At 38.6% G+C, this 15072-nt stretch overlaps 2 long non-coding RNA genes across 2 annotated transcripts in view; one reads left to right on the top strand and one right to left on the bottom strand.

Annotated features, from left to right (window-relative positions):
• LINC01722 (long intergenic non-protein coding RNA 1722) overlaps positions 1 to 10390 on the bottom strand; it is an 87316-nt gene extending 76926 nt beyond the window's left edge. The window contains exons 1-3 of the long non-coding RNA NR_109868.1: positions 9636 to 10390; positions 8271 to 8357; positions 3015 to 3063 (exon numbers count right to left, since the gene is read on the bottom strand). This is a non-coding gene — a long non-coding RNA (long intergenic non-protein coding RNA 1722). The remainder of the gene's footprint in view (positions 1 to 3014; positions 3064 to 8270; positions 8358 to 9635) is intronic.
• LINC01723 (long intergenic non-protein coding RNA 1723) lies at positions 8211 to 9498 on the top strand. Its single transcript, NR_109870.1, has 2 exons — positions 8211 to 8632; positions 9322 to 9498. It is a non-coding gene; the product is annotated as a long intergenic non-protein coding RNA 1723 (long non-coding RNA).
• Positions 10391 to 15072: the final 4682 nt, after the last annotated feature.

A 15072-nucleotide genomic window follows, 5' to 3' on the forward strand; every position in this document is an offset into this window, starting at 1 on the left:
TGTTTCTGCCTTTTTAGTTTAGCTCTTCCTCTAGACCACTCCAAGAGCATAGGCCTTGCTGGCATACTACTGTCTTTTTTCTTAAAAAATATATAGAGGGATCCTGTTAGATTAGTGTTCAGCAACTACTGCAGGCACGACATATCTGGCCCTGTACATTTTATGAAAATGAACTTACTGGAACACTGCTGTGCCTACTCATTTGTGTACTGTCTACGAAAGCTTTCATGCTACAACTTCCAAGTCCAGTGGTTGACACAGGAACCATATGACCTGCAAAACCAAGTATATTTACTATCTGACCCTTTACAGAAAGTCATGGAACCCAGAACTGGATGATCCATGGCAACTTCCATATTCTAGTTTTTCAAAATCCTTTTCTACTGCCATTCTTACTAAGGAGAATTTCAGCTGATAGCGGCAAACTAACAAGTAAATGTTTACCATGACTGAAGAGAGCTTCCTAAGGCAACCTTCCACCCCAGAAGCCTCATTTGTGGTTATGGGGCATGACCATAGTGCTGGCAGACCCCAGTCACTCAATAGATACAACATTCATTTATTCATGATTTTCTTTAAAAAATACGTTACACTAAAGGAACATGATTAAAAAAAAAAAAACACTACAGACTAATATCCCTGATTAACATAGATGCAAAAATCCTTAACAAAATACTAGCTAACCCATACAACAACATATCAAAAAGATAATCTACCATGATTAACTGGGTTTCATACCAGGGATGCAGGGATGGTTCAACACACACAGGCCAATAAATGAGATACACCACATAAACAGAATTAAAAACAAAAATCACATTATTATCTCAATAGACACAGATGTATTTGACAAAATACAGCATCCCTTTATGATTAAAACCCTCAGCAAAATCAGCATAGAAGGGGAATACTTTAATGGAATAAAAGGCATGTATAACAAACCCTCAATCAACATAATATTGAATGGGGAAAAGTTGAAAGCATTCCCCCTGAGAACTGGAGCAAGACAAGGAGGCCCATTCTCACCACTTCTATTCAGCGTAGTACTGGAAGTTCTAGCCAGAGCACTCAGACAAGAGAAGGAAATAAAGGACATCTAAATGGGTAAAGAGGAAGTCAAACTCTCACTGTTTGCTGATTATATGATCATATACCTAGAAAACCCTAAAGGCTCCCCCCAAACTTCCTAGAACTGATGAATGAATTTAGCAAAGTTTCAGGATACAAAATTAATGTACACAAATCCGTAGCTCTGCTATACACCATCAGCAACAAAGCTGAGAATCTAATCAAGAACTAAACCTCTTTTACAATAGCTGTAAAAAAAATAAATCAATAAAACCTTTAGGAACATACCCAACCAAGAAGGTGAAAGTATCCACAGAAAAAAACTACAAAACACTGCTGAAAGAAATCATAGACGACAAAAACAAATGGAAAAACATCCCATGCTTATGTATGGGCAGAATCAATATTGAGAAAATGACCATACTGGCAATGCAATCTACAAACTCAGTGCAATTCCCATCAAAATACCACCATCATTCCTCACAGAACTAGAAAAAACTATCCTAAATTTTATATGGAAACAATAAAGAGCTCACATAGCCAAAGCAAGATTAAGTAAAAAGAACAAATCTGGAGGCATCACATTACCTGATATCAAACTATACTATAAGGCCATAGTCACCAACATACCATGGTACTGATATAAAACTAGGCACATAGACCAATGGAACAGAATAGAGAACCCAGAATTAAACCCAAATACTTACAGCCAACTGATTTTAACAAGGCAAACAAAGACATAAAGTGGGGAAAGGACATCCTATTCAACAAATGATGCTGGGATAATTGGCAAGCCACACGTAGGAGAAAGAAACTGGATCATCAGCTCTTGCCTTATACAAAAATCAACTCAAGATGGATCAAGAACTTAAATCTAAGACCTGAAACTATAATAATTCTAGCAGACAATATCAAAAAAACTCTTCTAGACATTGGCTTAGTCAAGGATTTCATGACCAAGAACCAAAAACAAATGCAATATAAACAAAAATAAATAGCTGGAACTTAATTAAACTAAAGAGCTTTTGCACAGCCAAAGGTACAGTCAGCAGAGTGAACAGAAAACTGACAGAGTAGGAAAAATATTCACAATCAATACATCTGACAAAGGACTAATATCCAGAATCTAAAATGAACTCAAACAAATTGGCAAGAAAAAAACAAACAATCCCATCAAAAAGTGGGCTAAGGATAGGGATAGATAATTCTCAAAAGAAGATATTCAAATGGCCAACAAACATATGAAAAAAATGCTCAACATCACTAATGATCTCGGAAATGCAAATCAAACCCACAATGTGACACCACTTCACTCCTGCAAGAATGGCCACAATCAAAAAACAGTAGATGCTGGCGTGGATGCAATGAAAAGGGAACACTTCTATACTGCTGGTGGGAATAAAAACTAGTACAATCACTATGGAAAACAGTACGGAGATTTCTTAAGCAACTAAAATCGTAACTACCATTCGATCCAGCTATCCCACCACTGGGTATCTACCCAGAAGAAAATAAGTCATTATATGAAAAAGATACTTGCACATACATGTTTATAGCAGCACAATTCGCAACTGCAAAATTGTGGAACCAACCCAAATGCCCATCAATCAATGAGCAGATAAAGAAACTGTGGTGTATTTATATATGTATATGATGAAGTACTACTCAGCCATAAAAACGAATGAATTAATAGCATTTTCAGCAACCTGGAAGAGATTGGAGACTATTATTCTAAGTGAAGTAACTCAGGAATGGAAAACCAAACATCAGATATCCTCACTCATAAGTGGGAGCTAAGCTATGAGGATGCAAAGGCAGAAAAATAATGCAATGGACTTTGTGAACTCGGGAGAAAATGATGGGAAGGGGATGAAAGATAAAAGACCACAAATTGGGTTCCGTGTATACTGCTCAGGAGATGGGTGCATTAAAACCTCACAAATCACCATTAAAGAACTTGCTCATGTAATCCAATACCACCTGTTCCCCAACAACCTGTGGAAATAAAAAAAATTAATTAAAAATATATCCATTATTGTCATTTCATTTAGTTGAATACAGTTAATTCATACAACTTTGTATTTTAAGCAAGTTATGCAATCAGTGGTAACTTTTTAATAAGTTTATTTATAAACTTGCTTGTTTATAAGTCTAATATAGGAAATTTATAAAATTGAAACCATGAGAAATTTTATCCTCTTGCTGAACAAACAAAAATAGTTCGTGGCATTATGTGTATATTGTAAACTGATTTTTTAAAACCAGTTATATCAAAAACTCTTCTCATGTTGAACCCAAAGCCATTACTTCTTAGCTCATAACTATAGAAACAGAAGCTTACTATGTAAATATGCTTTTAACTGTCCACTAAAAGAAACATGACTTAATTACTTTTTCTTTAAGACAGGGTCTCACTCTGTCACCCAGGCTGGAGAATAACTTTCTGCTTCTTTCTTTTCATATTAAACAACTTAATTAGATATGATTTGCATACCATAAAATATATCCTCTGCAAGTGTACAATTCGAATTGTTTGGGTAAATTTATAGTTGTGCAAGCACCACCACAGTCCCGTTTTGGTACATTTTCATAACCCCCCAAATAGGTCCTTCACATCCATTTGCAGTCAATCCTGTCTTCCATCCCCAGCCTTAGTTAGACACACTGATCTGCTTTGTCTCTGTAAACCTGCCTTTTCTAGACATTGCATATAAATGCAATTATATAATACATAGGCTATTTTCCTCTGGCTGATTTCATTTAGCACCATATTTTTGAGGTTCATCCATATTTTAGCACATATGTTAGTAGTGTGCTTTTAATTATGGAACAGTATTCCATGGTATGGATATACCACATTTATTTCACCATTGATGGGTATTTGAATTGCTTCCAGTTAGACCTATTATGAATATCAATTCTAGAAACATTCACAGATGACTTTGTATCAACATGTTTTCATTTTTCTTAAACAGATTCCTGGGTTGCATGGCAGGTTTAACTTTTTAAGAAACTTCCAAACTTATTTCCAGTGCAGCTGCACCATTTTATACTAGTACCAGCAATGTGTGGGGATTCCAGTTTCTCTGCATCTTCACCAACGCTTGCTTCTGTCTGTCTTACTATAGCCATTTTAGTGGTACGCAGTAGTATATCACTGAGGTTTCAATCTGAATTGTCTAATGGCTCATAATATTATGATAATGTAGATCATTCATAGGCCCATAAGCCATTCTTATATCTTCCTTGGTGAAATATCTACCAAAATACTTTTGAACACTTTTGAATTGGTTTCTTATTGTTGAGTTTTAAGTGTTCTTTATATATTCTGGATTCAGGTCTATTATCCAATATACGATTTGCAAATGGTTTCTTCCTGTCTGTGGATTGTGTTTTTGTTTTCTTGAAAATAGTTTTTCTTCTTTCTCTCCTCTTTTCTCTCTCACTACGCATATATAGTTTCTATCAGCGTTGTCATACAGATTTCTAAAGTTCTGTTCACTTTTTAAAAATCAAAACTATGCAAATTTGTGCCCAAAGAAATTTCTTCTAATAGAAAAGCAACACACAAAACCCTAAACAAGCAGAAGGACCACAGAAGCTGGTGTTAGGACAGAAAACAAATTCACTGAGGGGAAAAAAAACAAAGCTGATCAGACAAACAAAAGTACCAGAGGACCTCATAATTAGGAAAATAAACAAAACACAGAAATGCTTAAATAAAATATTGGAGCTTAGTTGTACATTAACTTAGCAATCAGCCAAGGACAATTTGATACCTTAATATGTAAACACACAAGAGATCACAAATGTACACACTCTTACTGAGTCAAGGCTTCCAGCCCAAGACAGTAAATGTTTCATATGAATCCTGGTGAACCTGCATTTCTGTCAATTCCTTACAGGCAAAGACCCTAAAGAAAACAATGCAATATTAATAAGCAAGTATTAGAAAAGACTTATAGGATTTTGGCTTATGTAAAGTTTTTCAGAGATAATTCATAAAGCAAAGTTTTGCTTTGTATTGGATGCTATTAGGAAGTGGGGATAATTCCATGATTGGTTATCTTGATAAATCTTAAACAAAAAAAGCAATGGGATGGTGAGGCTAAAGCTGTGATTGTTAAACAAATGTCAGTTACTCATATTCTGACCAGGAGAGGAATATGTTTGGCCATTTTTTGCAGTTTTAGCAGTTTGTATGTTTTGTTTGCATTCAGACGTTATTACAGATTGGTCTTGGTTTTTGTTTTTGTTTTTCATCCACTAAAGCCACAGAGGTGCCTTGTCTAGTGCTCTTGTCTTTTTATGTTGAACAGGAGAACTTTACCACCTAGCTGTCAGTACTGGGCCAGATCCACCACACCTAACAGTAACAGCCCAGTTCTCAGATGCCAGGGGCTAGTGTCCTCTTTTTCAATGTGATAATCCAGGAATGCTACTATTAAGGATATGGGCTAGCAGGACTCTGAGGTGGGATGGAAGGCTCTCAGCTTCCCACAGGTGAGGAGAGAGGGTCTCAATGGACTACGTAGGGGTGGGCATCCTGCAGTTGGTGAGATCACATTGAACATTTGTAAGGAAAACCCAATGTCAGGGCACCAATGTGAAAAACATCACTCCTTACTCTGGAAGAATCCAGACTGCTTAAGGTGATAGCCGTGGCCAAAAGAGGGAACAGCTCTGAGGTCATTAATTTACCAAGCATTTTGATGATTCACTGTTACTACATTGTAGTCTCTTCCTCAGGTATAAGCCCAAATCTTCCATTTCCAGAAAAGAAACACATCACAAGTTGGGACATTGTTGAGCGATCACAGGAAACTTTCTCAATTTTTTTGTGAGGGCCAAAGGGGCCCCCAGCTTGAATAAAACCTCTTTATGGAAGTGTTTGGTGAAGGTTTTTGGAGATGGCCATCAAAGCTGAACTGATGGCTTATCTTCAAAGGACCTTCCTCAGGTGGCCACTTTCATTCTCTGTGCATGAATTCTTTCCGCAGCCCAAGCGACAATGAAAACTGCATAGGCTTTCTTATTAAGAGTGCTAATATGGAATTTCTAATGTGGAATTTGTAAAACCACTGAGTTTTGTGCAATTTCCCTTCTAATTATTAGTTTCTTTCTTTTACTTTTTATTTGTCCTGATACTTTAATTATTTCAAGTTTCTTTTTTTTCAATAGTCATTTTTAAGTACCATTCAGGATTTTATAAAAATATTAGTAATCGGGTAGTCTGTTTAAAATTCCTTAGATTTCTCTTGAGATGTTGTTTATATTCTTCTTAGTCTGCTTAGTAAACACTTCATATCCTCTCTTTAAAAAAAAGCAGATATGTCAGAAATATGATAGCAGTAATTACGTGCCCAGAACTTATTTTTTTTTTTTTGAGACCTTGCCCTGTCACCCAGGCTAGCATGCAATGGCGCAATCTCGGCTCACTTCAACCTCCACCTCCTGGGTTCAAGCAATTCTTCTGCCTCAGCCTCCCGAGTAGCTGAGATTACAGGTGCGCACCACCAAGTCCAGCTAATTTTTTGTATCTTTAGCAGAGGCGGGTTTCACCATGTTGGCCAGGCTGGTCTTGAACGCCTGGCCTCATGATCCACCCACCTTCGCCTCCCAAAGTGGTGCCCAGAACTCTTTCACTGTAAGATATGTCTGTGATGCTTCTGGGCCTGCTGTTGAAACCAGTCCCAAAGAGTTCATAATGACTAACAGAAAATCTTGATTTTGCAGAATGGCAGATGAAAAAAAACCAAGTCACTGAAACACTGAAACTCCCTCTGCTTTTGAGGTAAAAGAACTGCCTAACATTGGTTGGGACCAAGATGGCCTACTAGAACAAGCTTGCTGAAACTGCAGCCTGGATTTCCACTGCTTGTTTCATACTAACTTCTCCCAAATTTGCACATATGACTCATAAGGTAGCATGAAGAGATAACTGCACATGCCTGAGGACTTTTCAGACTCTGCTTACCTTCCACCAATCACCTGCTAACCCCAGTATCCACCCCATAAAACTTTTCTAAAAACTGCCTTGGAGCCAACACAGGAGACAGATGAGCTTGACTCCTGTCTTCTTGGTTGTTGAATTTCAGTGTAAGGCTTTTATTTTCTCAAAACCCATTGTCCTAGTATTGCCTTCTAGTGCATCAGGCAGTGAGCCCCTTTTGCTCCATAACACTGTTTCCTTCCTACGAGCAATGTCATTTACCCACATTGGGCTCTGCTGTCTTCAAAGGTTCTCCATTTGTACATTCACTTTCTGATTTTTCAAAGTTCCATGGCATCTGTTTCTTCTAATGGTTAAGAGTGGCCAGCAAGACACCTTGTCATGAAGATGTTTTGTACACCAGCCTGGGGGCCAGGGTAAATTCTGCCAAGACATCAGCCGTGTTTTTCAGGCTTCTCTCTGCAAGCCTCAAAGAATGTGCAAACCACAGCATGTTTGTGGTAGCCTCACATACTGATCCTACAGCACTTATGTCCTCCTCACTCTTCATTTTGAAGAAGGTTATCTTCAAAATGACCTTGCTGTGAAGCTCTGTTAGCTCTGATAGGGCGCATTTCTCATTGACATAGTGATTCAGAAAATGCAAGCAGCATATCAATGACTGTCATCTGGACTTCCATACCGATGGGACATATAGGGGAGGATTGACAGGTAGGCTAAAAATGCTGGGTAGAGAAGCTGGTGCCAGGAGAAATTTTTGGAAATTGAGTGGAGGATCTAAAATCCTTGCAGCCAGGAACTAAGAAAACTGGGGTTGGGACGTGGGGAGAGGGAAGCTGTAGACTATAGACTGTAGTCAGAGGCTGAGACTCAGGGCAGGATGCAGGTGAGAGTGGAGAGGCTTTCCTTAGGAGAGGACCATGGGAAATAAGTCTCCATGAAAGGGCCTTGGAGCAGGAGCCAGAACCCAATCATCACCATCCCTTCACCCCATCCCTTCAAGCCCAGCCCCTCTCTGCCGGGCTCACTCCCTGGTAACCTGGCTTTTATCAACCCCCTCTTCCTGGCTGGCCAATCCCCAGCTCCACTCCATGTGGGTCACAATCTGACCATTGTGACCTAATGCTCCCCCACCCCACTTGTGATTCCGTCACCGGAATTTCTTCTCAAGTGGTCTCTGATCCAGAGAGACACACCCAGCGGCAGCCGTTGACTCCCTCCACCCTTGCTTCCCTCTCAACCATCTCACCTCCATCTGTCCAGTGGAGCCAGATGTCCCACCTTCTTGGGAGAAATTAATTGAGGCTCATTTCCAGGACAGAGGGGCAAGCTGGGTCTGAGGAGCCAAGCAGAAAAACTTCCCAAAATCACTGGGTGGGGAGGGGTCAGAGACTTACTGCTGCCCCAGCTGTTCTGACTCTGCCCCCAGCTTTTGGCCCCACCCTTTTAAAGCACCTTCAGAGGTTCCCAATGGTGACAGTAAACAAGTCTCCACTGTCCTGGCCATCTCTGCTGTGTTCACCCTACTCCTGATCTTTCTGGCTGCTCAGGGACTGACAGCCAAGATGTGAGGCTGTGATGAGCAGGAACAGGGAGGCCTGGAGCCCCCAGGTGAGTGGAGTGGCTTGGCTTTAGGGAAGAGCAGCCTAGGTAAGTGGATATGGATGGAAGAGGCTCTGAAATTTGGGATCTGAACTTGGGGATCAAGGCAGCAGTTCTTTCTTTATAGGAACTTCCTATTAAAAAACATTTTTTTAATTTTTTTAATAAAAACAGGAAAGAGCCTTATAGGAAAGGGCTCAGTACTGTAGCCCAGGCTCTCAAAAATTATCAGTATAACTTAAGGTTTCTATGCCCAGTTACTTTTCCTATTTTAGTATAATAAAATAAAATATCTGACTCACTAGAGGAAATGCATAAAATGTGTACTCGAAGCACAAAGATAATTAATTAAAGAATCCCAGCATAGCCATCATTTGTCTTAAGAAACAGAGCAGTATTTACCTTAGCCTTCTTCTGTGGGCCCCCACCCCCTATATCAAAAAACCACCTCCTCGGTAGCCATTATGCTGAATTTTATGTTTATTTATCAATTGCTATTCTTTGTAGCTTGACTTCAACTTTCTGTACTCTTAAACAATATATTGAATAGATTTGCATGTCCATAAATTGTAAATATGGCTTTACAGTATATTATTCTCCGGGTCTTTTTTTGTGGTGCCGTATCTTGCTCCCACTGATGCACCTCCTGAATGTCTGTCATTCTCACCTATGTCTCTCCCTTTCTACCCTTCTTCTAGCCATTGTCATCACTTCCCTGATCTGCCTAAATTCTGCCCAGCAGTCCGTGAAAATGGTTTGCTGATGACATATGTAAGGACTTTAACTCCCCTCAAGCAATCTGCTCATCTCAAAGGGTAAAACATTGGCTCACTCCTAATGCAATAAATGACACATAAGGTCACAATTCAATGGTACTCTCCTTGGATACTGCTTCTTATGTGAACATCAAACTTACACTTGCTTCCTACACACTAACATATCTTGTATATTTGGAGTAAAAATTAGAGAAGTACATACAGGGATTTAAAATATAAAACATTTTTTTAGTTACCATTTCAATCTCGCTGCTTGTTATTGGTCTGTTCAGGGTATCTAATTCTTCCTGTTGTAAGATAGGAGGGTTATATCATTCCAAGGAGTTATCCACCTCCTCTAGGTTTTCTAGTTCATGCGCATGAAAGTGTTCATCGTAGCCTTGAATGATCTTTTGTATTTCTGTGGTGTCAGTTGTAATATCTCCCATTTCATTTCTGATTGAGTTTATTGGGATTTTCTGTCTTCTTGGTTAATTTTGCTAATGTTCAATCAGTTTTATTTATCTATTTTATTTATTAAGCTGGTTTCAAGAACAAGCTTTTTGTTTCATTTATCTTTTGTATTGTTTTTCGTTGTTATTTCAATTTCATTTAGTTCTGCACTGATCTTGTTTATTTCCTTTTTCTTGCTGGGTTTGGGTTTGGTTTGTTCTTGTTTCTCCAGTTCTTTGAGGTGTGAACTTAGGTTGTCCGTTTATGCTCTTTCAGATTTTTTGATGTTGGCATTTAGAGCTGTGAACTTTCCTCTTAGCACTGCCTTTGCTGTATTCCAGAGGTTTTGATAGGTTGTGTCACTATTTGCATTCAGTTTGAAGAATTCTTTAATTCCCATCTTGATTTCATACTTGACCCAGTGATCATTTAGGAGCAGGTTATTTAATTTCCATGTATTTTCATGGTTTTGAAGGTTCCTTTCGGAGTGGATTTCCAGTTTTATTCCACTGTGGTCTGATAGAGTACTTTATATAATTTCAATTCCCTTAAATTTACTGAGGCTCATTTTGTGGCCTATCATAAGGTCTATCTTAGAGAAAGTTCCATATGCTGATGATTATAATGTATATTCTGTAGTTGTTGGGTAGAATGTTCTGTAAATATCTGTTAAGTCCATTTGCTCTAGGGTATAGTTTAAATCCATTGTTTCTTTGCTAACTTTCTGTCTTGATGACCTGTCTAGTGTCGTCAGTGGAGTATTGAAGTCCCCCACTATTATTGTTTTGCTGTCTATTTCATTTGTTAGATCTAGTAGTAATTGTTTTATAAACTTGGGAGCTCCAGTATTAGGTGCATATATATTTAGGATTGTGATATTTTCCTGTTGAACAGGCCTTTTATCATTATATAATGTCTCCCTTTGTCTTTCTTAACTGCTGTTGCTTTAAAGTTTCTTTTGTCTGATATAAGAATAGCTACTCTTGCTCGCTTTTGGTCTCCATCTGCATGGAATCTCTTTTTCCACCCCTTTACCTTAAGTTAATGTGAGTCCTTAAGTGTTAGGTGAGTCTCTTTTTTTTTTAATTTTTAAATTATTATTATTATTATTATTATTATACTTTAAGTTTTAGGGTACATGTGCACAATGTGCAGGTTTGTTACATATGTATACATGTGCCATGCTGGTGTGCTGCACCCATTAACTCTTCATTTAGCATTAGGTATGTCTCCTAATGCTATCCCTCCCCCCTCCCCCCACCCCACAACAGTCCCCAGAGTGTGATGTTCCCCTTCCTGTGTCCATGTGTTCTCATTGTTCAATTCCCACCTATGAGTGAGAACATGTGGTGTTTGCTTTTTTGTCCTTGCAATACTTTACTGAGAATGATGATTTCCAATTTCATCCATGTCCCTACAAAGGACATGAACTCCTCGTTTTTTATGGCTGCATAGTATTCCATGGTGTATATGTGCCACATTTTCTTAATCCAGTCTATCATTGTTGGACATTTGGGTTGGTTCCAAGTCTTTGCTATTGTGAATAGTGCCTCAATAAACATACGTGTGCATGTGTCTTTATAGCAGCATGATTTATAGTCCTTTGGGTATATACCCAGTAATGGGATTGCTGGGTCAAATGGTATTTCTAGTTCTAGATCCCTGAGGAATTGCCACACTGACTTCCACAATGGTTGAACTAGTTTACAGTCCCACCAACAGTGTAAAAGTGTTCCTATTTCTCCACATCCTCTCCAGCACCTGTTGTTTCCTGACTTTTTAATGATTGCCATTCTAACTGGTGTGAGGTGGTATCTCATTGTGGTTTTGATTTGCATTTCTCTGATGAGGTGAGTCTCTTGAAGGCAGCAAATAGCTGGTGAATTCTTATCCATTCTGCAATTCTGTATCTTTTAAGTGGAGCATTTAGGCCATCTAAATTAAATATTAGTATTGAAATGTGAGATACTGTTCCATTCATAGTGCTATTTGTTGTACGTATATGCAATTCTCATCAAAATACCACCATCATTCTTCACAGAACTACAAAATCAATTCTAAAATTTATATGGAAGCAAAAAAGAGCCCGCATAACCAAAGCAAAAAGAACAAATCTGGAGGCATCACATTACCTGATTTCAAACTATACTATAAGGCCATAGTCACCAAAATATCATGGTACTGATATAAAGCTAGGCACATAGACCAATGGAACAGAACAGAGAACCCAGAAATAAACCCAAATACTTACAGCCAACTGATCTTTGACAAAGCAAAAAAAGACATAAAGTGGGGGAAAGGACACCCTATTCAACAAATGGTGCTGGGATAATTGGCAAGCCACATGTAGGAGAATGAAACTGGATCATCATCTCTTACCTTATACAAAAATCAACTCAAGATGGATCAAGGACTTAAATATAAGATGTGAAAAAATTCCAGCAGATGACATCAGAAAAACTCTTCTAGATATTAGCTTAGGCAAGGATTTCATGACCAAGAACCAAACAGCAAATGTAATATAAACAAAGATAAGCAACTGGGACTTGATTAAACTAAAGAGCTTTTGCATAGCAAAAGGAACAATCAGCAGAGTAAACAGAAAACTGACAGAGTGGGAGAAAATCTTCACAATCAATACATCTGGCAAAGGACTAATATCCAGAATCTAAAATGAACTCAAACAAATTAGCAAGAAGTAAACAAACAATCCCATCAAAAAGTGGGATAAGGACATGCATAGACAATTCTCAAAAGAAGACATACAAATGGCCAACAAACATATAAAAAATGCTCAACATCACTAATGATCAGGGAAATGCAAATCAAAACCACAAAGTGATACTACTTCACTCCTCCAAGAATGACCATCATCAAAAAATTTAAAAAAAAAAAAAAGATGTTGGCATGGATGCAATGAAAAGGGAACACTTCTACACTGCTTGTGGGAATGTAAACTAGTACAACCACTATGATAAAAACAGTATGGAGATTCCTTAAGGAACTAAAAGTAGAACTACTATTTGATATAGCTATCCCACTACTGAGTATCTACCCAGAAGAAAAGAAGCCATTATACAAAAAAGATACTTGCTCATGCATGTATATAATAGCACAATTCACAATTGTAAAAATGTGGGACCAACCCAAATGCCCATCAATCAATGAGTGAATAAAGAAACTGTGGTGCCTAGATATGTGTGTATATATATGTGTGTGTATATACATATATATATGCTACAGTTTCTGTGGCACATACACACACACAATGGAATACTACTCAGCCATAAAAAGAAATGAATTAATGGTATTTGAAGCAAACTGAAAGAGATTGGAGACTATTATTCTCAGTGAAGTAGGTCAGGAATGGAAAACCAAACATCGCATTTTCTCACTCATAAGTGGGAGCTAAGCTATGAGGATACAAAGGCATAAGAATGACACAATGGACTTTAGGAACTCAAGGGAAAAAGGTGGGAAGGGGGTGAGGGAGAAAAAACTACTAATTGGGTGCATTGTACACTGCTCTCACGTGATAGGTGCACCAAAATCTCAGAAATCACCAATAAAAAACTTACCCATGTAACCAAACATCACCTGTCCCCCAATAACCAACGGAAATAAAAAATTTTAAAAATAATAAATAAAACTGTCTGCTCTTCAGTAAGTTGTGTTTGCATTAAGAGAATATCTAGAAACCACCTACGGGAAGCAAGCATAGGCCACTTGGAAGAAGTTTCAAGAAGGAGAGCTGACCCCACCTTTGTACGCTGGCAGCACAAGGAGCCCTCAGTAAGTGTTACCCTTCCTTATCATGTGCTAAATGTTTAAGGCTTTGAGTCAGACAACTTCAAGATTGGTGATCTCTGTCAACCTCATGGCTTTGTCTAGAGGGTCAACTGAGAAAAGCAACAACGAGTTGGTGCATTTTTCAAGAGTCATGCAAGTAGTGTTGTCTTCCCTCTCTCTTTAGGCTTTGATGCTTTAGTCTTTACATTTACTGTAACACTGATCATGATCTGTTGTTTATTCAAGTTATTTAGGCTGATGCTGCTAAAGCTAACTGTATTAAGGACCATTTTTAAAATTTCCAGTCCTTTTCAAGTAAATATTTTTGTAAAAGAAAAATTTTTTAAAATTACTGAAAAGAGGAAATGCGAAAATTATACACATTAGAAGTCAAAAGTGTTTACTGATAAATTTAGAAAATGTAAAACTAAATTTAAATACATATATCAGGACAGATATATGGAAGAAAAATAATTTCAGAAACTGTACTTGGTGTTTGCTGAATGTGTGCATTGGGGAATGAGTGTGGAAAAGAGCAACTCAAGCTGTGTTTTTCCTCTCTTCTCTCAACAACAACAATCAACACAGAAGACTTCTGCCACCAAATATGTGCAGGTTTCTCTCCATACCCCAAGCTAGCAATTGATTCTGCAGTGGAAACCACCTGGGTGTCTCCAATTTAATTTAGTTCTGACACTATCTACCTGGGGATAGCCTCAGAAACCACAGGTTGAGGGCTCAGTCCCACAAGAACACCCCCTTCTTCTAACCAGTTGAAACTCCACACCTCCAGAACTTCTCACTGACTGGCTTCAAGCTGTGTTTCCCACAAACCCCTGTTTGAGTTTGACTAATTTGCTAGAGCAGTTCACAGAACACAAGGAAATACTCATGTTAATCAATGTATAACAAAGGATGTTTTAAAGGATCCAAATGAAAAATCAGATGAAGAGATATATACTGTGAGGCCTGGAAGAGCACAGGAGCTCCTGTCCCCATGGAGTTGGGGTGTGTCACCCTCCGGGCACATGGACAAGTTCTCCTTCACCTGCCTGTCAGCCTCCACATGTTCAGCTCTCCAGAAGCTCTACACACCCTGTCCTCTTAGGCATTTTATGAGGACTCCATTGGATAGGCATGACTGACATATGTGTAGAAATGTGATTGGATCAAAGGGTATGATCTATAATATCTATTATAATGCTGATAGACTAAGTGGGGAAACCCAGCAAGGCCTCTGTCTATTCAGATTCTTTTTGGCATCTCTGTGCAGCATTCCTACCTCCAGGGTATAGCAGGACCCTTTTTTTTTTTTTTTTTTTTTTTGAGACGGAGTCTCGCTCTGTCGCCCAGGCTGGAGTGCAGTGGCGCGATCTCGGCTCACTGCAAGCTCCGCCTCCCGGGTTCACGCCATTCTCCTGCCTCAGCCTCCCGAGTAGCTGGGACTACAGG

Source organism: Homo sapiens, chromosome 20 (genome assembly GCF_000001405.40).
Source record: "Homo sapiens chromosome 20, GRCh38.p14 Primary Assembly".
NCBI lineage: Eukaryota > Metazoa > Chordata > Mammalia > Primates > Hominidae > Homo > Homo sapiens.